At 43.2% G+C, this 21,228-nt stretch overlaps 1 protein-coding gene across 13 annotated transcripts, besides 2 other annotated features; it reads left to right on the top strand.

Annotated features, from left to right (window-relative positions):
- MCM3 (minichromosome maintenance complex component 3) lies at positions 174 to 20,901 on the top strand. 13 transcript variants are annotated; one of them, NR_158966.2, is made up of 18 exons: positions 174 to 319; positions 1,510 to 1,622; positions 2,055 to 2,263; positions 2,741 to 2,871; positions 5,317 to 5,555; positions 6,066 to 6,174; positions 7,228 to 7,381; positions 7,718 to 7,849; positions 8,440 to 8,648; positions 11,000 to 11,174; positions 11,560 to 11,686; positions 12,465 to 12,615; positions 15,690 to 15,830; positions 16,948 to 17,051; positions 18,220 to 18,305; positions 18,772 to 18,841; positions 20,130 to 20,521; positions 20,708 to 20,901. NR_158966.2 is itself a non-coding variant. In NM_001366371.2 (18 exons), the coding sequence occupies exons 1-18, from the start codon at positions 242 to 244 to the stop codon at positions 20,250 to 20,252; spliced, it is 2,451 nt and encodes an 816-aa protein (NP_001353300.1). In that variant the 5' UTR covers positions 174 to 241; the 3' UTR covers positions 20,253 to 20,901. The 13 variants fall into 13 exon arrangements, 9 of the variants coding, with proteins under 9 accessions (NP_001353300.1, NP_001353298.1, NP_001353302.1 ...); NR_158964.2 differs by adding an exon at positions 19,508 to 19,681 and having other exon boundaries at positions 20,130 to 20,901; NR_158965.2 differs by having other exon boundaries at positions 16,910 to 17,051.
- Positions 217 to 296: an enhancer, noted in NCBI's record as "active region_24670". NCBI's record gives its function as "activates an Ori minimal core promoter by ATAC-STARR-seq in GM12878 lymphoblastoid cells {active_cell/tissue: GM12878}" and the evidence as "EXISTENCE:reporter gene assay evidence [ECO:0000049][PMID:35858748]".
- Positions 20,127 to 20,546: a silencer, noted in NCBI's record as "fragment chr6:52129168-52129587 (GRCh37/hg19 assembly coordinates)". NCBI's record gives its function as "represses an EF-1alpha promoter that drives an FKBP-Casp9 reporter gene in an ReSE screen in HepG2 liver carcinoma cells {active_cell/tissue: HepG2}" and the evidence as "EXISTENCE:reporter gene assay evidence [ECO:0000049][PMID:32094911]".
- Positions 20,902 to 21,228: the final 327 nt, after the last annotated feature.

The raw sequence follows: 21,228 nt of genomic DNA, 5'->3' as shown, positions 1-21,228 counted from the left end.
TTCCCGCCACCGCGGGGCGCGCAGCGGAAAACCCGAAGAAGAAGAAGCTTTTGATTGGACAGTCGCTAGTCCGACCTCAGAGAACTCAGCCAATCATAATGCTTATATGCTCCCAAGGTCCCCGCCTCTTCCTCGAGGTAACCTTTGGTGGCGGGAAGAGTTCGGAAGTTTTCGCGCCGGGGTGGAGTCATCCTGGGAACCTCCACGCGACTTTGGTGGAGGTAGTTCTTTGGCAGCGGGCATGGCGGGTACCGTGGTGCTGGACGATGTGGAGCTGCGGGAGGCTCAGAGAGATTACCTGGACTTCCTGGACGACGAGGTGAGGGAGGCGCCGGCGCGCGGGCTCTAGCGCTCGGAGCCCCTGCGGACGCGGCCCGGCCGGGAAGCCAGAGGCCCGCCAGACCTCCAGACCGTGTGCCGCAGCGGAGCCTGCCGGGCCCGAGCCTCCAGCCCCAATCTTGTAACTTCTCAACGCCGGACTCGCTAGTTTGTGTTCGATAAGTGAACTCTTAGGAAGCCAGCTTTCTCTTAAGTACAAGCGATGGTCCGGGCGCGCAAAAGGCGACAGGTTCCCATTAAGTGCAAGCAGATTGGCAAAGCCCACCTCGGCCTTTTGCATTTCACTGCTCTCTCTTGATTTGAGGAGACTGTGGGGGAGGGGCTGCCCTAGGGCTATAGTGACCAGCCGCGTTGCAGAGTGCTCAGATTTTAGGGACTGACGTTTTACCTGGAGGAAAAGACTCCATAATTCGGCTGCATTCTTTTTCAATACCAACTAAGATGCAGATAAAAAGTGTTTTGTGTGCAGGCCAAGGGGATTTTATGTGCAACCCAAGACTTAAAGCCATAGAATGTTGAAAAAACCATCTTGAAGGGTTGATGATGTGACCAAATAGCTGAGATTCTCTATTCCTTTAGGTCGGGGTATGAGAACCCTTTCCGTATTATAGAGATGATTGGAAAAAATATTACTTTTTACATAATTCTTAAATGAAAAGCCATTTTAATGTGACTATTAAGAGTCTGTTTTATTTACATTTTTATTGTATATATTTGAAGTGCACATGTTTTGATATACATGGTGAAATGATTACTACAGTGAAACAACATATCCATCTATTCACGTTGTTACCTTTAACATTCACATTGCTAGGTTTAACTTAACATTTTAACAAAGTTTGCACTTACTGTCCATTTAGACTTCTCATGAGCTCATTTTAATTCTCCACTAAAGACAGAAATTACAGCATGCAGAAAAGTTGTCCATGATGATGGGAATAACAGCATGGACCTTGAGGAAGTCATTATAATTCTTATAGTCCCCTCTTAGGGTGTTATTTCGAATCTAAAAACAGTGAATGAAAGGGAGAAATTGATGAGCACATACTTACTGGGGATTCAGCTCTGCTGCAGAGATTGACTTAGCTATCTGGCTATGAGAACTACTTCTGTTTAGAAACATTGTTTTTAAATTTGTGGCTATGGTGATATGTGGTGGCTGTTTTGCAGGAAGACCAGGGAATTTATCAGAGCAAAGTTCGGGAGCTGATCAGTGACAACCAATACCGGCTGATTGTCAATGTGAATGACCTGCGCAGGAAAAACGAGAAGAGGGCTAACCGGTGAGAGGCAAGGGGATATACTGGCTGTCAGTGAGAATGGCTCCCTTCCCTCTTGGCCAGATTGGAACAGCCTCTCAGGAGAGGACTTGTATGAAACAGGATTGATCTACAAGCCCTCGTAGCTCACCTGCACCTATTTTTTTTTTTTTTTTTTTCAAAAAGTGGGTGGTTGGCATTTTCCTCCCAAATGCCCCTCCTTCCAATGTTTAGCTGAATATCATTTTTATATCTTTGATAAGTTGAGGTGAAGTTGGTCCTTAGTTCTGGTATTTTACTGAGTCTTATAGGATGGTGTTTTACTGAGACTTATAGGAGAAAGCAGAAGCTGGATTTTCTCATTGTTTTTAATGATCTAAGAATGTCTGCTGTTTTGAGGATCCATTTTTTTGAGTTCTGCCCAGTCTAATTTTTCTTTCTCTTGCTTATGTACAGGCTTCTGAACAATGCCTTTGAGGAGCTGGTTGCCTTCCAGCGGGCCTTAAAGGATTTTGTGGCCTCCATTGATGCTACCTATGCCAAGCAGTATGAGGAGTTCTACGTAGGACTGGAAGGCAGCTTTGGCTCCAAGCACGTCTCCCCGCGGACTCTTACCTCCTGCTTCCTCAGCTGTGTGGTCTGTGTGGAGGGCATTGTCACTAAATGTAAGTGGGTTAAAGGGGGCCGCTTAGGAAATGAATAGACAGGGAGATGGGGAAAGCAGGAGAGGCAAAGTAGATCTGGGTAGCTTGTGGCTTCAAAGAGGTGGAGCATTGGAATTACGTGGTAAAACTTGGAGGGCTCAGTGTGTACAATGATTGGGGGACCTTGAGTAATCACATGTATTAGTAGAATGATGAATTCTGCTGAGAGCTGGAGGAGTCTTGGTTCCTGGCAATCTCTAATTCCAACCTCTAACTCCACCTATTTATTAGTTGGGATTGGTGGTACTTAAAATTTTACATGGATATGGTGGTGGTCTATATATAAATAAAAAAGTGAATAAAAGGTAATATTGAAATATCGTAACCTAGTCAAAAAAACACAGTATTTGGAGTCATTATAGGCTTGCATATGTTTGGGTTCCACCTGTATCATCGTCTAGTTGGGTGAGTTTATATATGCACATTTTCCATCCCTAGGTTCTCTAGTTCGTCCCAAAGTCGTCCGCAGTGTCCACTACTGTCCTGCTACTAAGAAGACCATAGAGCGACGTTATTCTGATCTCACCACCCTGGTGGCCTTTCCCTCCAGCTCTGTCTATCCTACCAAGGTAAGGGGGATAAATCAGTTGAGCTGTCTTGGAGGTTGGAATCAAAGATACCTGTTTTAAGGCAAGGAATTGTGTAATATCTGAAGTCTTTTTTCTGTAAAGGGTGAAAAATAAGGATTAATCCAAAGGAAAGATTGATTGCAGGCCAGAGTTTAATATGAAAAGCCCACAATTCTTATTTATTTATTTATTTATTTTTAAAGATGAGGTTCTCCTATGTTGCCTAAGTTGGAGTGCAGTGGGTATTTGCAGGTGCAGTCATGGTGCACTAAATTTGCAAACTCCGGGGCTCAAGTGATCCTCCCAAGTAGTTGGGATTGCAGGCATGTGCTACGCCACCTGGCTTCACAATTCTTATTTTTTTTTTTAGAGACGGGATCTGTCTCTCTCAGGCTGGAGTGCAGTGGTGCCATTATAGAACACTGCAGCCTGAAACTCCTGGACTCAACGAATCTTCTCACCTTAGCCTCCTGAGTACCTGGGATTATAGGCATGCACCACCAGGTCCGCTAATTTTTTTTTTCACTTTTTTCTAGAGACAGGGTCTCGCTATGTTGCCCAGGCTGGACTGGAAGTCGTGGCCTCAAGTGATCCTCCTGCTTCCATCTTCCAAAGTATTGAGATTACAGACATGAACCACCATGCCCAGCCACAACTCTTATTATTTTTTTAAGAAAACACTTGTTCATTTTAGAAAATTAAGGAATAGTCAAAAGAAGAAGTCATCTACATAGATGTTTTAACAACGTTATAATTTTAGAATCTGCTTTTTAAAAAGTAGAAAAATAATGCTAGACTGTTATGTAATCTTTACAAATATTTTGTTGCGGGTTTGGGAGCAGGTTGGCATAGGAAAATGCTTTCTTCTTGGTGTTCAGATTGATCTGGATTGAGGACAATGCAAGGTTTTCCTCTGGAGACAAAAGATCATTTATATGGATTACTTGATGTCTGAACTGATTCTATCAAACAATTCCTCTCCTCCCCTCATCAAATTTTAATTGAGAACTACTGTATTCAAAGCACTATTAGGCGCTATGGAGGACAAGGATATAAATAAGACCCAGTCCTCGTCATTAGTCTTCACAGTGGTGGAGAAATGAAACATAAACAAAAACGAATGAATATCTTAGAATTATAACTTAAACATACTTTAGCATCATTTAGTCTACCTCCAGATGAAATGCTGAGATCAGAGAAGTTAAACAATTTGCTTACGGTCCCAGTTAGTGATGGCCTTAAGGACTAGGACCTGTGTCTCTTTAATTCATGCCAGTTGTATTTTCTAAGTCATTCTGTTGTCTTCTTCGGACCTTAAGATCTCCACTTTTTTAGAATTTCCTCTTCAGGAAGTACTTGGGAAGTACTCTTCTGTTGATTACTGTGGCCAAGCTTCTTTACTTGAAAAGTGAAATACATTGGACCAGATCTTCTGGAGGTTGTCTATGGTGATGCTTAAGAGCGTGGGCTTTGGAGTTAACACCTGTATCAAGTCAAGACTCTGCTACTTAACTGTGTGACCTGGGGGAACTTACTTAATCTCTCCTAGTCTCCTGGTTTCCTTGTGCATGACGTGTGAAAATACCTTCTTTACAAAGTTGTTGTGATAATTACATGAGATAATTTTGTGAAGTAATAGCACAGTGCCTGGCACATAGCAAACACTCAATAAGTGACAACTGTGTTTTTAGAAAATTCAAATGTGAAGGAAGTAAAACTTTAATATACGTACAGGAAAGCTCACATAAGTGTATAGCTTGATGAATTTTTACAAGCTGAGTACACCTGTGTAACCAGCTCCAAATGAGGAAATATTAGCACACAGAAGTCCCTCTTGAGGGCTCATGTTACCTAGGGGTAACCACTATCCTGATGTCTAACAGTATGGATTACTTTCAGCTGTTTTTTATTTAAATACTTATGGGCTTTTTATGCTCAACATTGTGTTTATGAGATTTATCCATGTTGTGTATAGGTGTGTTTCATACATTTTTATTGCTGTATAGTATTCATTTATGTGAATATACCGTGTTTAACCATTACACTATTGATGGCATTTTTACACTTTAAAATTTTTGACTACTAGGCATAATGTTGCTATGAGCATTACAATGCATGGCTTTGGGTGAATGTTTCTGTTGGGTATTACCTAGGAGTGGAAAAACTGCTTCAGAATGTAAGCATATATTCAGCTTTAGAGGGGAAGTAAGAATCTTAATTTAGATGTTAATATAACCATAGTCCATTCAGACTATGGGTTGCCCCTTCCATTCGATGGTTGTTACTAAAACAGACAGGAACACAAAAAGCTAGAGAAGGTACTTGGCTTTTTTTGTTACTGAATAATAAAATTTTATGAAGTCATCTTATTTGCCATGACAGGTGAGTGTGGCATTTTTAAGACAGGACGGAGATCACTCTGTCCCTCTGTGTGCCTTTTTCTAGGATGAGGAGAACAATCCCCTTGAGACAGAATATGGCCTTTCTGTCTACAAGGATCACCAGACCATCACCATCCAGGAGATGCCGGAGAAGGCCCCAGCCGGCCAGCTCCCCCGCTCTGTGGACGTCATTCTGGATGATGACTTGGTGGATAAAGCGAAGCCTGGTGACCGGGTTCAGGTGGTGGGAACCTACCGTTGCCTTCCTGGAAAGAAGGGAGGCTACACCTCTGGGACCTTCAGGTAAAGGGTCTGCCTTAAAGTATATGGAATGCTGTTGACAGCTTCCATTTCTGGTAATATCCTTTCTCCAGTTTGCCATATTCCAGAGAGTTATATCTGATAGGTGGAGCACTCTACCTGCCTGGGAGACAGGATACCTTCAATACCTCTTTTCTATCAGATAAAGCTGGTGATACTTAACCATCATATGCCAAAAATGAGAGTTATTGGTGACAATGATTACAGCCTCATGGCTTTCCTGGGAGTTTCTCATTTAATTACACTTCGTCCCCATACACAGTTCTGTCTGAAGTTCTGTGGGTCAATTCCAGAGGTGGGGCATGATCAGCATATTTGGATCACAGACAGAACCAGTTGTTTAATTCACAATAGCTACCTGCCCCCTCCCCACCAACTCTAATTGGCTGGTCTAGTTTGGCAGCCTAAAAAGGCTTACTCCTGCTAGGGGTACTAGCTACTGATGTTAGGAATTGAATATAACGGGTTTCCTCTTTATTCTGTTTGTCCCAGGACTGTCCTGATTGCCTGTAATGTTAAGCAGATGAGCAAGGATGCTCAGCCCTCTTTCTCTGCTGAGGATATAGCCAAGATCAAGAAGTTCAGTAAAACCCGATCCAAGGTCTGGGCATCCTTTAGAAATTTGAGGGTGGGAATGGATTTCTAAGAGTTGTGTTTTGGTGCATGGCTATTTTTGTACTAGATCAGAAGGAAGGGTTGAGGTTTGGTGTTAGCTTTTTCTATTTTTGTCTCAATCAACAAATGAAGGGTGTTTTTGCTGTTTGTTCTTTAGTAATTCTGTTGTTATTAAACAATTTTAATACCTGCTACCTGCTGGGCTGCTAAATGAGCCTAGTACAAATATTAGGATAGGTGTTAACTTGCCCGTGTACCAGTAAGTCTATTTATTACTGAAGGCGTTAGTGATGCATTACTACTTAAACATTTTTTCTTTGTTTTAGTTCTCCAACTTGTTTTTATCTTTTTAAGATAGGATGTATATCCACATTTAGAATTGAACTACATATATGAATGTGTGATGATAAAGGTTACTGTTCAAGCACAGTACATGTTCTTATTAAACCTAAAATGTTTTGAACCTGGGGATACTTTTTTCCCTTAAAGATTAAACCTCTAAACAAGTTTTGGAATCCAGGCTGCTCTGTGCCTACTCTGATAATGGCCTGATAGTGTAATTTGTCTTAGAAAATAATTTTTTGCAGTTAGGAACAATGTACCTGTTTGTGTGTTTCTTCAAGTATTTTCTTTTTTTTTTTTTTTTTTTTTTTTTTTGGTGAGACGGAATCTTGCTCTGTGACCGAGGCTGGAGTGCAATGGTGCGATCTCTGCTCACTGCAACCTCCGCCTCTTGGGTTTAAGTGATTCTCCTGCCTCAGCCTCCCAAGTAGCTGGGATTACAGGCGCACACCACCACGCCTGGCTAATTTTTTGTATTTTTAGTAGAGATGGGGTTTCACCATGTTGGCCAGGCTGGTCTCGAACTCCTGACCTCGTGATCTGCCTGCCTCGGCCTCCCAAAGTGCTAGGATTACAGACCTGAGCCACTGCGCCTGGCCCTCTTCAAGTATTTTCTATAGGCCAAAGTATATAAAGTGGAGCTCCACAAAGTCCCATTGAATCTCACTAGGCTTGCCATTGGTTATTTCTCCTGTAGGATATCTTTGACCAGCTGGCCAAGTCATTGGCCCCAAGTATCCATGGGCATGACTATGTCAAGAAAGCAATCCTCTGCTTGCTCTTGGGAGGGGTGGAACGAGACCTAGAAAATGGCAGCCACATCCGTGGGGACATCAATATTCTTCTAATAGGTACGATGTTGGGGATTTGCTTTAGACTGTTGTTCTGATGGAGTGGTTGTGGAGACCTATAATATGTAAGATTGTATATTCTGTACTTAGCAGTATTTCAGTCCTATCAAAGGACAAAAGGCTAAAATGAATCTTTTTTTTTTTTGTCATCTCTGGAATTCCTGATTTATAGTATATAAATATTCTTCCGTGAGTGGTGAAGGGAAAAGCGAAGGAAAAATATTAAAATCCACTTACTGTGTGACTCTGTTGTGTCAAGAGCTGTGCTAGAAAGGCAGAATTTGCTGGGGGTGCTGGGGAGTTTCCTAGAGAGTCATCACTGCCCCCACCCTACAGGAGACCCATCCGTTGCCAAGTCTCAGCTTCTGCGGTATGTGCTTTGCACTGCACCCCGAGCTATCCCCACCACTGGCCGGGGCTCCTCTGGAGTGGGTCTGACGGCTGCTGTCACCACAGACCAGGAAACAGGTAAGGGTGTAAGGGTCCTTGGCAAAGGCCCAGCAGAGAGCCTGAGCATAGATCCTTTGTGTGCCCTGGCTTGTGTTCTGAAGATACAGCTGATAGGTTAGTTGGGTCCAGATTATAGAGGACTGAGTATTCAGCAATGGTGGGTGAATTATTTAAGTCTTTGGTGTTCATCTATTTACAGGAATGTTTTCGATTTAAAGGATTAAGTCTTAGCACATTAGAAAGGAAATAAAAATGAAGATTGTACTATTTTATGAACTAGAGGAAGGGATTTGGAGACCAGTGAAGAGAAGGCAGAGGTCTAGTTGGGGTATTACTTGAGGTTGAGGCCGAAGAGAGAATCTATGAAGGAAATTTGTGAGAAGCTAGTTACTTAGGGGTCAAAGTGGGACAAAGAGATACTATTAATATTTAGATTAGAGCTGAAAAGGTGACCCACCAGGGTTTCCTCTAAGTTTCTCGGAGCCAACACACCATTGCCGCATTCTCACGTGCAAAGTGAGAGATTCCTAGGAAGGAGATTGAAATCCTTCCCTTCTGGCCCCTATAACCTAGACTGTAGCACGTATTTTTACCTTCTCACTTCCCAGGAGAGCGCCGTCTGGAAGCAGGGGCCATGGTCCTGGCTGACCGAGGCGTGGTTTGCATTGATGAATTTGACAAAATGTCTGACATGGATCGCACAGCCATCCATGAAGTGATGGAGCAGGGTCGAGTGACCATTGCCAAGGCTGGCATCCATGCTCGGCTGAATGCCCGCTGCAGTGTTTTGGCAGCTGCCAACCCTGTCTACGGCAGGGTAAGTGGAATCAGGCCCCAACCATTGTCCTCACCTTCATTTGGTTTTGCTGACTAACTGGGCTGAGAAGTGTATTCTAGGTGACCCAGGGGAATAATAGGCCAAAGACTAAAAGTAAGGCCATTTTCTTGTTATTGTCCTTTGTTTAGAGCAGTGTTCCTCACCCATTCCTGCACAGCAGAATCCCCTGGAAAGTTCCTTATTTAAAAGTAACTTTTTAACAGTACAGTTAAACAGTCCATTTAACATATTTAACCGTCCATTAAATAAAAGGACTACATGCATGTGGCGGGAGAATTTCTAAACAGAACAGGTATATAGTATGAAAACGAAAAGACTTGCTTCTCTCTCCTGTCACTTTGCCAAGAAATAACAGCTTTGAAGTGTTGCAGGAAACAAAACTTTAAGCATGTACCAGCAAATACACTATTTCCTTGTTAAGAATTATCTCTGTTTTTACCATGACTGTGATGTGCTAGATATAATCTTTTATATTTGTCTGTGCGTGGGGTTTGTTGAGTTTTTCCTTTTAAAAAAATAGATTTCTAGTATTCCGTCACAGGGATGTATTTAACTAGTCTCCATCTGATGGGTATTTAGTGGTTTCCATTTTTTCCTCCCTATTTTGAATGAAGCTGTAGTGGCCATCCCTTTATGTGTGTGGATAGATTTGGGAATATATCTGTAGTATAAATACCTAGCAAGGAAATTACTGGATTAAGAGTTATGTGCATTTTTCTTTTGGTAGAGATTGCAAAATTACCCTCTTTAAAGATTGTACCATATTAATACTTCTATTAATGAATGCTCATAAATGCTTTGTATTTACCAACTCCTTTTATCCTATCAGTAACTACCTCACAATGTGTAGTTATCTTTATTTTACAGATGAGAAAATGGAGGTACAAAAGATTATGTAACTTGCTCAAGAGCCACAAACTTGAAAATCGCAGAGCCAGGATTTGAGCCCAGAGCTCATGCTGTGTCCTGGCAGTTTATAATCAATCCCACAGTGTATGGGAACACCTTGTTGCGATGCGATGGTGTTTTTTATACATACAGTTGCATGGTCCCCCGTTCAGAGTTTCTGAATTAAAATCTCTTGAGTTGGAGCTCTTGGTAGCTATGGTTTAGAAGGGCTCCACAGGTTTGGTTTTAATGTGTAGCCAAGGTTGAAAACCATAGCTTTTAAAATTAATGATAGGGCTGGGCGCAGTGTCTCATGCCTGTAATCCTAGCACTTTGGGAGGCTGAGGTGGGAGGATCACTTGAGCCTAGGAGTTTGAGACCAACCTAGGCAATATAGTGAGACCTCATCTTTAAAAGTAAAATAAAATAAAATAAATGATAATGTATGTTTATGTCATTCTCAAGAGTGATTGGGAAATACAAGAAAAATGGCAGGACCTGAAACGTGAACATGGTCAAAATCATTATTACCTAAAGGTTGTTATGTTCTCTGACTGTGAAGTGTATGTGGATGGGTAAGTATCAGTCCAGTAGGCCCAGAATTGAAAGGAGAGTATTGGGGTTTTTGAATCCCAAGGAAAAACTCCCTTGATTTTTTTTTTTTTTTTCTGAGACATAGTCTTACCCTGCCACCCAAGCTGGAGTACAGTGGAGTGATCCTGGCTCACTGCAGCCTCGACCTCCCTGGGCTCAGGTGATCCTCCCACCTCAGCCACTTGAGTAGCTTGGACTACAGATGCGTACCACCATGCCTGGCAAATTTTTTTTTCTTTTTAAGTTTTTATAGGGACAGGGTTTTGCATGTTGCCCAGGCTGGTCTCGAACTCCTGGGCTCAAGCAGTCCACCTGCCTCAGACTCCCAAAGTGCTGGGATTACAGGTGTGAGTGGATGTGCCTGGCCAGTTTCTAAGATGTTATGATATATAGATCATTGACCATTTTAGTTGAGGTTTTACTTGTATCTTCTGAGTAAGGGACTCCAAAAAGTTCTAAGTGCTTGTAGCCTAACCAACTTGCCCTGTCTTTATGACAGGTAGGGGAAAGGGATCATCTTTCAGAGTCAGGTCCTGCCTTGGGAATGAGAAGAGCAGAATAAGGTTTGGGAAGCAGGGGCCTGGTTTTCAGACCTACACTCAGCCTGTTAGAGGTTCCTGTAGTAGAAAGTGGGGCTTCCTAGGAAGCTCAGTTAAAGAAGGGTTGCAGGTAGAAGAGATGATTTACATTGTTTAATGGCTTTAAAACACTTCCCTTTTTCACTGCTTTTTGTCTGTTTTGCTCTTTGAGGTCAAGCCTTTCATTCCCACTCCCAGAACTGCAGCAGCCTTGTTGTTCTTTCTTCCTATTGATGTCATGTCCACTTCTGTTGTCCTCGCATTCCCCAGTATGACCAGTATAAGACTCCAATGGAGAACATTGGGCTACAGGACTCACTGCTGTCACGATTTGACTTGCTCTTCATCATGCTGGATCAGATGGATCCTGAGCAGGATCGGGAGATCTCAGACCATGTCCTTCGGATGCACCGTTACAGAGCACCTGGGGAGCAGGATGGCGATGGTGAGGCCATAAGAATAGTAAGAGTAACTAATGGAAAGGCGCTAAACAGATGGTAGTTTCTCAGGCCCAACCCAGGTGGTGGTAGGTGTTTCAGTGTCCGGGTTGATGTTGAAGAGCCCTCAACTGTTTAGCCACCTCCCCTTCTTGCTTAGTGGAGGGTATCCTAAGGTGTGTCTTTTGTCCATTTCTGGGTCTGGGAATAACTGAGCATCTTGTGTGAGCCAGGCAGTTCCACTATCTTTATTTGTGGGTTCCATGTGTCTGATTCTTTTTGGGCCCTTTCTTTATGAATCTTGGTGTCTCCCCTTCTTGTGCTATAGAAGAAGCAATTTCCCCTGGGTTAAACTCTTTATTACTCTCCTTTCTCCTAACTTGGGTATACCAGCTATGCCCTTGGGTAGTGCTGTGGATATCCTGGCCACAGATGATCCCAACTTTAGCCAGGAAGATCAGCAGGACACCCAGATTTATGAGAAGCATGACAACCTTCTACATGGGACCAAGAAGAAAAAGTGAGCATTCTCATAACTCTTCCTCAAGGGAACCTGAAATATGTGTTATATTAGAGCATGTGTATATCTAAGCTTAGCTAAGGCCTTATATGCCCAGGTCAAAGCCATGCCTGGAGTCATAACCACGTGGATTAATTTTCTTCTTTTCTGGGTCCACAATATATCCTTTATCCTGGCCAGTTGCCTTGTAAATGTTTAGGTGATTCAGCGCAGGTTCAGGTCTTTTCTTAAAATAGAGTTTTGATGATACGCCTGATGGTGGGTGTGCCTTATATATGAAAGATGGCAAGTGTCATGTAGCCATTTGTGATGAAGGGTCAGCAGATAGCAAACATTTGAGACTTTGTAGGTAGACTTGGTGAAGGAGACGTGTGATCAGGTGCTCAAAGCATGAAATGTGGGATCTTACACCTATTTTTGGCCATGATGCAGTAAGAAGCATAGCATAATCTTCAAAGCTGTTGGTTTAAGAATGTAGAATTTGGAGTCAGAAAACTTTTAGTCAACTTGAGCTTCTCTGAGCTGTAGTTTTCCCACCTACAAAATAGAGCAAATAATACCTAAACTTTCTGCCTAAACTACCTAACTTACAAATAATACCTGTAATAATTAAATAAAAATATGTGAAAGAGTCTTGTCTATGTTCCATATAAATGGGAGTTATGATAATGGGTTCTAGGCTTTGTTTTGACCCTGGCTTTTCTGAGAGGCAAAGCCACTAATCCAGGCAGGTGGTAAGGTGTGGCAGGGAGATGGAATTCACTGTGTGTGGCTCCAGGGAGAAGATGGTGAGTGCAGCATTCATGAAGAAGTACATCCATGTGGCCAAAATCATCAAGCCTGTCCTGACACAGGAGTCGGCCACCTACATTGCAGAAGAGTATTCACGCCTGCGCAGCCAGGATAGCATGAGCTCAGACACCGCCAGGGTGAGTGCCTGGGGGAGCCTAGGCTTGGGGTCCCTTAGGTATATGGCTGGGCAGGAGTCCCTGCTATCTGGGAGCTTTGAAAGCATTTTAACTTAGTGACTTTTTTCCTGGTCTGAAGGGCTTCCTGTTATACAATTTTAATCATTTCCTTTTATAAAGGAAAATGAAATAAGGACCCCAGAGATAACATGTCTCTTATTAGTTAAAATGACATTGGCCTCCAGAAGCTGTGATTCATTCAGCAAACATAGGAGTGACTTCTGGGAAGTGACCTAGTCTTTCCTCTTACAAGCAATGTAAAATTAATAAACACTCTTTTCAAAGAGCTCAGATCCGGAGCGGGGGAAGCACAAAGGTAGATAGAAAGACTTCCGTACATATTTATAAATATTTACCCCAGTGTGGTACTTACAAAGGAATGAACGTGAAAGGCTATTTGAGCATAGACGAATAAACTGTTAATTTCTTTTAGACTTCCCTGAAGGGGTATGAATGTCAAGGAAGGATTCCCAGAGAGTATGATATTTGGACTGGACTTTGAAAAAATGACTAACAGGCAACCATGATGGTTATTCAAAGCAATTTCTGGTAACCTAATATAGGTGTCCATGAATTTGTCTAAATCTTTTTTTTGTTTTGTTTTTGTTTTTGTTTTGGTGAGACAGAGTTTCACTCTTGTTGGCTAGGCTGGAGTGCAATGGCGCGATCTCAACTCACTGCAATCTCCACCTCCCTGGTTCAAGCGATTGTTCTGCCTCAGCCTCCTGAGTAGCTGGGATTACAGGCATGCACCACTACACCCGGCTAATTTTGTGTTTTTAATAGAGACCAGGTTTCTCCATGTTGGTCAGGCTGCTCTGGAACTTCCTACCTCAGGTGATCCGCCCGGCTTGGCCTCCCAAAGTGCTGGGATTACAGGTGTGAGCCACCATGCCCGGCCCAAATTTGTCTAAATCTTTTAGGGGCAGTGTAGTTCACATAGGATTTTACAGCAGAAAGACCCAAGTCCAGAACTCTTATTATGTTACATAGACATAGATTCTTGGATTAGACATGATCCCAGATCATCTACTCAAGCCTCACCCACTCTGTCTTTTCAAATCCCTGCTGGGACTTTTTTTTTGAGATGCGGTCTTGCTGTGTTACCCAGGCTGGAGTGCAGTGGCATGGTCTGGGCTCACTGCAACCTCCGCCTCCCGGGTAGGTGGGACTACAGGTGCGTGCCACCATGCCCGGCTAATTTTGTATTTTTAGTAGAGACGGGGTTTCACTGTGTTGACCAGGCTGGTCTCAATCTCCTGACCTCGTGATCCGCCCATCTCGGCCTTCCAAAGTGCTGGGATTATAGGCATGAGCCCGGCCGGGACTTCTTAATACCCCCAGTGACAGCATGCGCAGAGCATCACTGTTTTGAAATTTTAGAATATTTATTAAGCTTAAACCTATTTTCCCACAACTTTTACCTGTGGGTGTTAGTCTTGTTTTCTGGAGGTTGTGTATCGCCTGTCTTCCTCATTAAACAGCTTACTTTCTTTTTAACTGTTCCTTTCCACATGCGAACTTCTGGTGTGTCCCAGGCCCTCTCATTGAACCTAGAACTGAGCGTCATACACTATTTTAATTGTCTTAGTGTGGGGTCTGTAAGTGAATTCCAAGAGAATTTGGATTCTCTAGGTCTGCTAGTGCAGGCCAGGATTTCACCAGCTTTTTAGGTGGTTTAAGAATTAGAACTTGTCATGGAGTGTATGACTTCCAAACTCCGGTAGCTTTCTAAATTATTACAAGATTTGATGAATGAATTTAAATGTGAATGTATTTATTTTTGAATGTCATTGTGGATATACATGGTAATTTAGGAAACTTGAAACAAGAAGTGACCAGGATACGTCAGTGATGGGGTCATATAATGGGAGACCCGGGAGGTGTGACAGAAGGAAGTAGTTTCTTTTTTTTTCTTTTTTTTTTTTTTTTTGAGATGGAATCTCGCTCTGTTGCCCAGGCTGGAGTGCAGTGGCATGATCTTGGCTCACTGCAACCTCTGCCTCCCGGGTTCAAGCTATTCTCCTGCCTCAGCCTCCTGAGTAGCTGGGATTACAGGCATGCGCCACCACACCGGGCTAATTTTTCTTTTGTATTTTTAATAGAGATGGGGTTTCACCATGTTGGTCAGGGTGGTCTCAAGCTCCTGACCTTGTGATCCGCCTGCCTTGGCCTCCCAAAGTGCTAGGATTACAGATGTGAGCCACCACGTCCGGGCTGGAAGTAGTTTCATGTCTGATCCCAGCTCTGCAGCTAGCTTTTGGACTGTGGACAAATCCTTTCACCTGTCAGGTCAGCTTTCTTATCCATAAAATGAGAGGATTGGATACATCAGAATCACCTGAAACTTGTACACATATCTAGTCCTAAACACTGAGATTTCTGATTCATTCATTTCCAATTCATTCTGATTGATTAGGTCAAGAAAGGCCATTCAGACAATAGCATTTTAAAAGATAAAGGCATCCCAGTTTGGTATTCATCGGCCCCTGTGAGAAACATTTGTTAGGAATGTGTCAGAGTTCTCCTTCTCCGGACTGAGTTTACTGAAGTTACGTTTTTGTCCTCAGATTACTTCTTTCCTATCCCTCCTTTAGTGTGACTTTGGAAAATCTCCTTGAAGGTCTTTGAGTCCCATTTCCTTCATGTATAAAACTTCTCCAAGTTATTAAGAGGGTGAAATGACAGAATGTATATAAAGGCAAACTTCCTGCTGCATTGCAGGCCTGCAATCACTGATGATTTTTCTCCCTTCTCTTTTCTACGCTGTAGCTTTTTATCTTTCCAGTTGTTAGATGCCTAATCTTCCCTGTTCACTTGCTCCTCCTTCCTGCAACACTCTTGTGTATATTTCCTTGATCATTGCTATCATCTTTCTCATTTTTATATGGTATCTGTAGAGAACACAGAACTCTGAATTCTTTGCTTGGGCCTCCTGGGGCTTTTCTGGTAGTGTCATTTCCCTTTCTGTGCAGTAGGATTGATGGGCATGCCTAAAAGACTTGGGATAAGCAATCCTCCCTTTTCTTCCCTAGACATCTCCAGTTACAGCCCGAACACTGGAAACTCTGATTCGACTGGCCACAGCCCATGCGAAGGCCCGCATGAGCAAGACTGTGGACCTGCAGGATGCAGAGGAAGCTGTGGAGTTGGTCCAGTATGCTTACTTTAAGAAGGTGAGGATTCAGATGCCTGGGCATGAGAGGATCTCCTGGATATATTACAGATGCATGGGCTTCCCAGCCTTCCGTGGCTGACGGCTACATTTGGATTGTCAACAGAAAGCAGTATTTGTCTTCCAGTCATCAGTCTGCCTCACTCTTTCCTCTGAAACACTCAGTGATTCTCAACCCTGACTGCACCAGAGAATCAGATGGAAAGCTTTAAAATGCTGATTCCAGGGCTCCTAGAGATTCTGGTTTAGTTGATGTGCTGTACTTTCAGTTAGCTGCTTCTCTGTCTACCCCTACTTCCTTTGCATCTTAAAAAAAAAAGTAGGTGTTTTCAAAAGAGCTACCTTGGTAATCTTCCTTGTCCCACTCTACCTTTCCTCTTGGTAGTCTCTTCAAATGTCCCATTGGCACCTCAGAAGCTCATGTTTAAAGTTGAACTCTCAAACTTGCCACTCATCCTGTTTCCCTATTTCTGTTTGTGACATTGCACCTCTGTCATTTTAGATATCAAGCCTCAAAGCCTAGACTCCCTTTTCCTAGTTGCCCACTCCCACCCCAGTCTGGTGAATGTTAGCCTTTTGGGGTTGAGTTGTGAGTCTAATAAACTCTTCCTTGCTTTTTGCTAGGTTAAGGGTTGAGTTGTGAGTCTGATAAACTCGTCCTCACTTTTTGCTAGGTTAAGGGTTGAGTTGTAAGTCTGATAAACTCTTCCTCGCTTTTTGCTAGGTTAAGGGTTGAGTTGTGAGTCTGATAAACTCTTCCTCGCTTTTTGCTAGGTTAAGGGTTGTCTTGGATTTCAATTAGACACCTGATTTATAAGGAAATGGATTGTTTTCACTTAACCATTATGGGCTAGACATTTGTTTCTTTATTCAGTAAACATTTATTGAGTACCTACTATATAAACAGCATTTAACATACTTCCCAGCATTTTGAAAAGATGGGTAGCAGTCTCTACTTCTGCCCCTGGTCCTGGGACTTAGGGACAAGAGGAGCTAGGTAAACCATTGGAAACATGGAAGTCTTTCCTGCTTATGATGCAGAAGGGACTGGGAGTTCTTGATGCAGTTCCCCTGCATCAGTGACCCCTCTAGCCCAGCCACACTTGCCTTGGTCTTAGGTTCTGGAGAAGGAGAAGAAACGTAAGAAGCGAAGTGAGGATGAATCAGAGACAGAAGATGAAGAGGAGAAAAGCCAAGAGGACCAGGAGCAGAAGAGGAAGAGGTAAGGTGGGGCAAGCAAATGAGATTAAAAAGTTAGTGGCCAAGAAGTTGGGGGTGCACGCCTGTAATCTTAGCAATTTGGGAGGCCGAGGCGGGTGGGTCACTTGAGTCCAGGAGTTTGAGACCAGCCTGGGAAATATGGCAAAACTGTCTCTACAAAAAATAGAAAAATTAGCTGGGCGTGGTGGCGGACACTTGTGGTCCCAGCTGCTCGGTAGGCTGGGGTCGGAGGATTGCTTGAGCCTGGGAGGCAGAGGTTGCAGTGAACCAGGATCGTGCCACTGCACTCCAGCCTGGGCGACAGAGAGAGATCCCATCTCAAAAAAAAAAAAAAAAAGTAGTAAGTTCCAGTGGGACTGGGGAGAGAAGTAGAGGGTAGAAGGTGGAACCAGCGCTGCTTATTGATGTCAGGTTGTTCATGGAGAGTGTTCCTAGACCTGCGGGGTTTGAGGATGAAGATAACCTGGGTAGGCTGGGCGCGGTGGCTCACGCCTGTAATCCCAGCACTTTGGGAGGCCGAGGCAGGCGGATCACGAGGTCAGGAGATCAAGACCATCCTGGCTAACAGTGAAACCCTGTCTCTACTAAAAATACAAAAAATTAGGCTGGCGTGGTGGCAGGCACCTGTAGTCCCAGCTACTTGGGAGGCTGAGGCAGGAGAATGGCGTGAACCCAGGAGGCAGAGCTTGCAGTGAGTGGAGATCACACCACTGCACTCCAGCCTGGGTGACAGAGTGAGACTCCGTCCGTCTCAAAAAAAAAAAAAAAAGAAGATACCCTGGGTAAAAGAGAAGGAGAGCGAGTCCTTCTTGTGTGCTTTTGACCCCTCTACTGAAGAAATGCTAAATAGTAGGAACAGCAACCCAACCACTGAGGGTTTTGAATATATACTTCAAAATTCTAAGGGAAAAACCTTCATGCTTATAGTTGAATTTATAAGGGTGAGTGATGTGGAAAAGAGCGTTGGGAAGCAGCGCCTGTTTGTGTTCTAGTCTGGGGACTTGGTCTCGTTTGGAACAAGCAGCAGTTTGCAAAGGCCTAAGCCTAGTGCTTCACTTTGACTTAGTGGTTCTGTTTCCTTTTCTCCGTAGTTAGAGGCACGTGATGGGGCTTCCTTGCCTTTCTGTCTCCAAACTCTTTCTCTCTCTTAACTGCTGTGGGTATTTTAGAAGGAAGACTCGCCAGCCAGATGCCAAAGATGGGGATTCATACGACCCCTATGACTTCAGTGACACAGAGGAGGAAATGCCTCAAGGTGAGTGAGCCCACTTACTGATGAAAGAGGTTGTTCCTGTGACTCTTGGACTTTTCCAGTTGCTCTGTGCACTTTATTTTCTTGTGGACTCCTGTTTGTTTGGCTCCCTGCTTGGGGCCTATGTCCAAGAGGTTTGTCCCAAGAGAGCTTCAGGGGAAACTTTGGAAAAAGCTTTGCTATATTATATACACCTCCTTGATGAACTGTGCTGTGCTGTTTCACCTGGTATAAGCATTTCAGATAATATATACATTGAGGGTCTCCTGCCTGACTAAATTCCTTCATCATCCAATGAAGATTTCCCTATATCCTAATTGTTCTGCCTGGCCCCATAAGAACCCTAGGAAATAGGAGTGTTCAGCAGGCTGAGTGAGAGATTGGGAGTGGAGATGATTTCTCTAGTGTTTGTGGAAATGGCTTCACCTTGCTTATCTTCCCCATCTCTACAACCATCAACCCTCTGAAGTACACACTCCAAAGACGGCAGACTCACAGGAGACCAAGGAATCCCAGAAAGTGGAGTTGAGTGAATCCAGGTGAGTACGGATGTTGCTCCTGCCCCTTCAAGAATTCTGTGTATCGCTGAGGAAGGGACTTTGTTCCCTTGGAGAGGGTGGGAAACAAACTGCTGGTCATCAATAGAACTCAAAACTAGAGGCCTGCAGCTTTTAACATTTTATATTCTCATTTAATTTCAAACTTACTGAAAAGTTATGAGAAAAGCATGAAGAACTTCTGGATGTCCTTTACCCAGAATCTTCAGTTGTTTAAATTAATAATTCTCTCTTTCTGAGAGAGAAGAGTTTTACAATAAGGATAAAACTTAATGTCTTACTGTAACCTCAGATTCTTCTTGGTGGGATAGATACATTTTGGCCATTTGTTTTTGAAATGAAGAATTTTTACCACCAGGGTTTTAGGAAACATTTTTATCTATGAATTTTGTTTACTGGACACCAAGAAACTCCATAGCCAAGTTTTACGTTTTTTCTTTTTATACTTTAAACACATAATACAGTGTATTTACTGAAAAAAATTTGAAACACATTGAAAAGTATTTAGAAAAAAAATTAAAATCAATTGTAACTCTATCCCTCAAGGACAACCATCAACTGTATCTTAAAATGCTTGAATCAGCTCGTATAGATCTCACTTTTTTTTTTGAGACCGGAGTGCAGTGTTTATTTTTTACTTTTTTACAGTGTTTATTTTTTACTTTTTGTAGAGACGGGATCTCACCATGTTGCCCAGGCTGGTCTTGGACTCCTGGCCTCAAGCAGTCCTTCTACCTGAGCCTCCCAAAAGGCTGGGATTACAGGCATAAGCCACTGTGCTTGTTTGATCTCATTCTTTTTAATGACTGCAGGGTTTCCATGGTATGGATGGGTAAAAATTTAATGAAATTCTCTGATGATAGACATTTGGGTTGTTCCCTGTTTACAGTAAAACAGTATTAAATTTATCAGTGTGCACTCATGCAAGTATAGCTATAAGGTGAGTTCCTAGAAATGGGCTCCCTGGGCCAAAGGATATACGCTTTTAAGGGTTTAGTAAGTGCTGTTAAATTGTCCCGCATTGACGCTGACCGGGTTACTATTTTACAGTGAATGGGAATGCCAATTTCCCACACGCTAGTACAATAGTTTAGCTTTAAAGGGGGCTCCTCAAGGGTAGCACTGCCATCAGAGGCAGATGTGTGTGTGAGAAAGAATATTGAGGGGACGCCTCTACTGTATTAATACTATGGATTTTCCTAGTATAGCTGTTTCCTGAGAGCATTTGGGTTTGTTTACTCCTCTTCCCCCTTTCTTCTGTCTGGGGCAGGTTGAAGGCATTCAAGGTGGCCCTCTTGGATGTGTTCCGGGAAGCTCATGCGCAGTCAATCGGCATGAATCGCCTCACAGAATCCATCAACCGGGACAGCGAAGAGCCCTTCTCTTCAGTTGAGATCCAGGCTGCTCTGAGCAAGATGCAGGATGACAATCAGGTCATGGTGTCTGAGGGCATCATCTTCCTCATCTGAGGAGGCCTCGTCTCTGAACTTGGGTTGTGCCGAGAGAGTTTGTTCTGTGTTTCCCACCCTCTCCCTGACCCAAGTCTTTGCCTCTACTCCCTTAACAGTGTTGAATTCAACTGAAGGCGAGGAATGTTGGTGATGAAGCTGAGTTCAGGACTCGGTGGACCCTTTGGGAATGGGTCATGAAAGCTGCCATGGGGTGAGGAAAGAGGAGACAGTGGGAGAGGACAATGACTATTGCATCTTCATTGCAAAAGCACTGGCTCATCCGCCCTACTTCCCATCCCACACAAACCCAATTGTAAATAACATATGACTTCTGAGTACTTTTGGGGGCACAACTGTTTTCTGTTTGCTGTTTTTTTGTTTTGTTTTTTTTCTCCAGAGCACTTTGGTCTAGACTAGGCTTTGGGTGGTTCCAATTGGTGGAGAGAAGCTCTGAGGCACGTCATGCAGGTCAAGAAAGCTTTCTTTGCAGTAGCACCAGTTAAGGTGAATATGTATTGTATCACAAAACAAACCCAATATCCAGATGAATATCCGAGATGTTGAATAAACTTAGCCATTTCGTACACATGGTCTTAATAGTCATAGTGTGTTTTTTATACATAACATTGAATTGTTTTCCTTGAGAGCAATCGTGCAGGGTTTGCTGCTCCCGCATTTGCAGCAAACTACCACAAGGTGGCAGCAGCCTGCTGTGATCTCTGGGGGTCATGTCTTCTCTAGAGGCAGTTTTCTTCTTCAGCAGCACCAGCGTTTATCAGTCAAAATTGATAGTATAGACCAAACCCTGCCAATTTAAAATAGCTAAATGGCCACGGGAGGCTAGTGAGTAAAAGTTCAGGAGAAGAATTGCCCCTCTGCCTGGCGCTTTTTGCCTGAATCTAAACTTATCCTTCATAA

Source organism: Homo sapiens, chromosome 6, assembly GCF_000001405.40.
Source record: "Homo sapiens chromosome 6, GRCh38.p14 Primary Assembly".
Classification (NCBI taxonomy): Eukaryota; Metazoa; Chordata; class Mammalia; order Primates; family Hominidae; genus Homo; species Homo sapiens.
Note: the sequence above shows the minus strand (reverse complement) of the source record. Positions and strands in the feature narration are given on the sequence as shown.

Bases quoted from the DNA above. Each gene is read 5' to 3' on its own strand.
- MCM3 (NM_001366369.2), top strand. From the start codon at position 242: ATGGCGGGTACCGTGGTGCTGGACGATGTGGAGCTGCGGGAGGCTCAG. The intron at 6,175-7,227 runs GTCTGGGCATCC...TTTCTCCTGTAG, and splicing joins TCAGTAAAACCCGATCCAAG to GATATCTTTGACCAGCTGGC. The intron at 18,842-19,530 runs GTGAGTACGGAT...TACTTTTTGTAG, and splicing joins GTGGAGTTGAGTGAATCCAG to AGACGGGATCTCACCATGTT.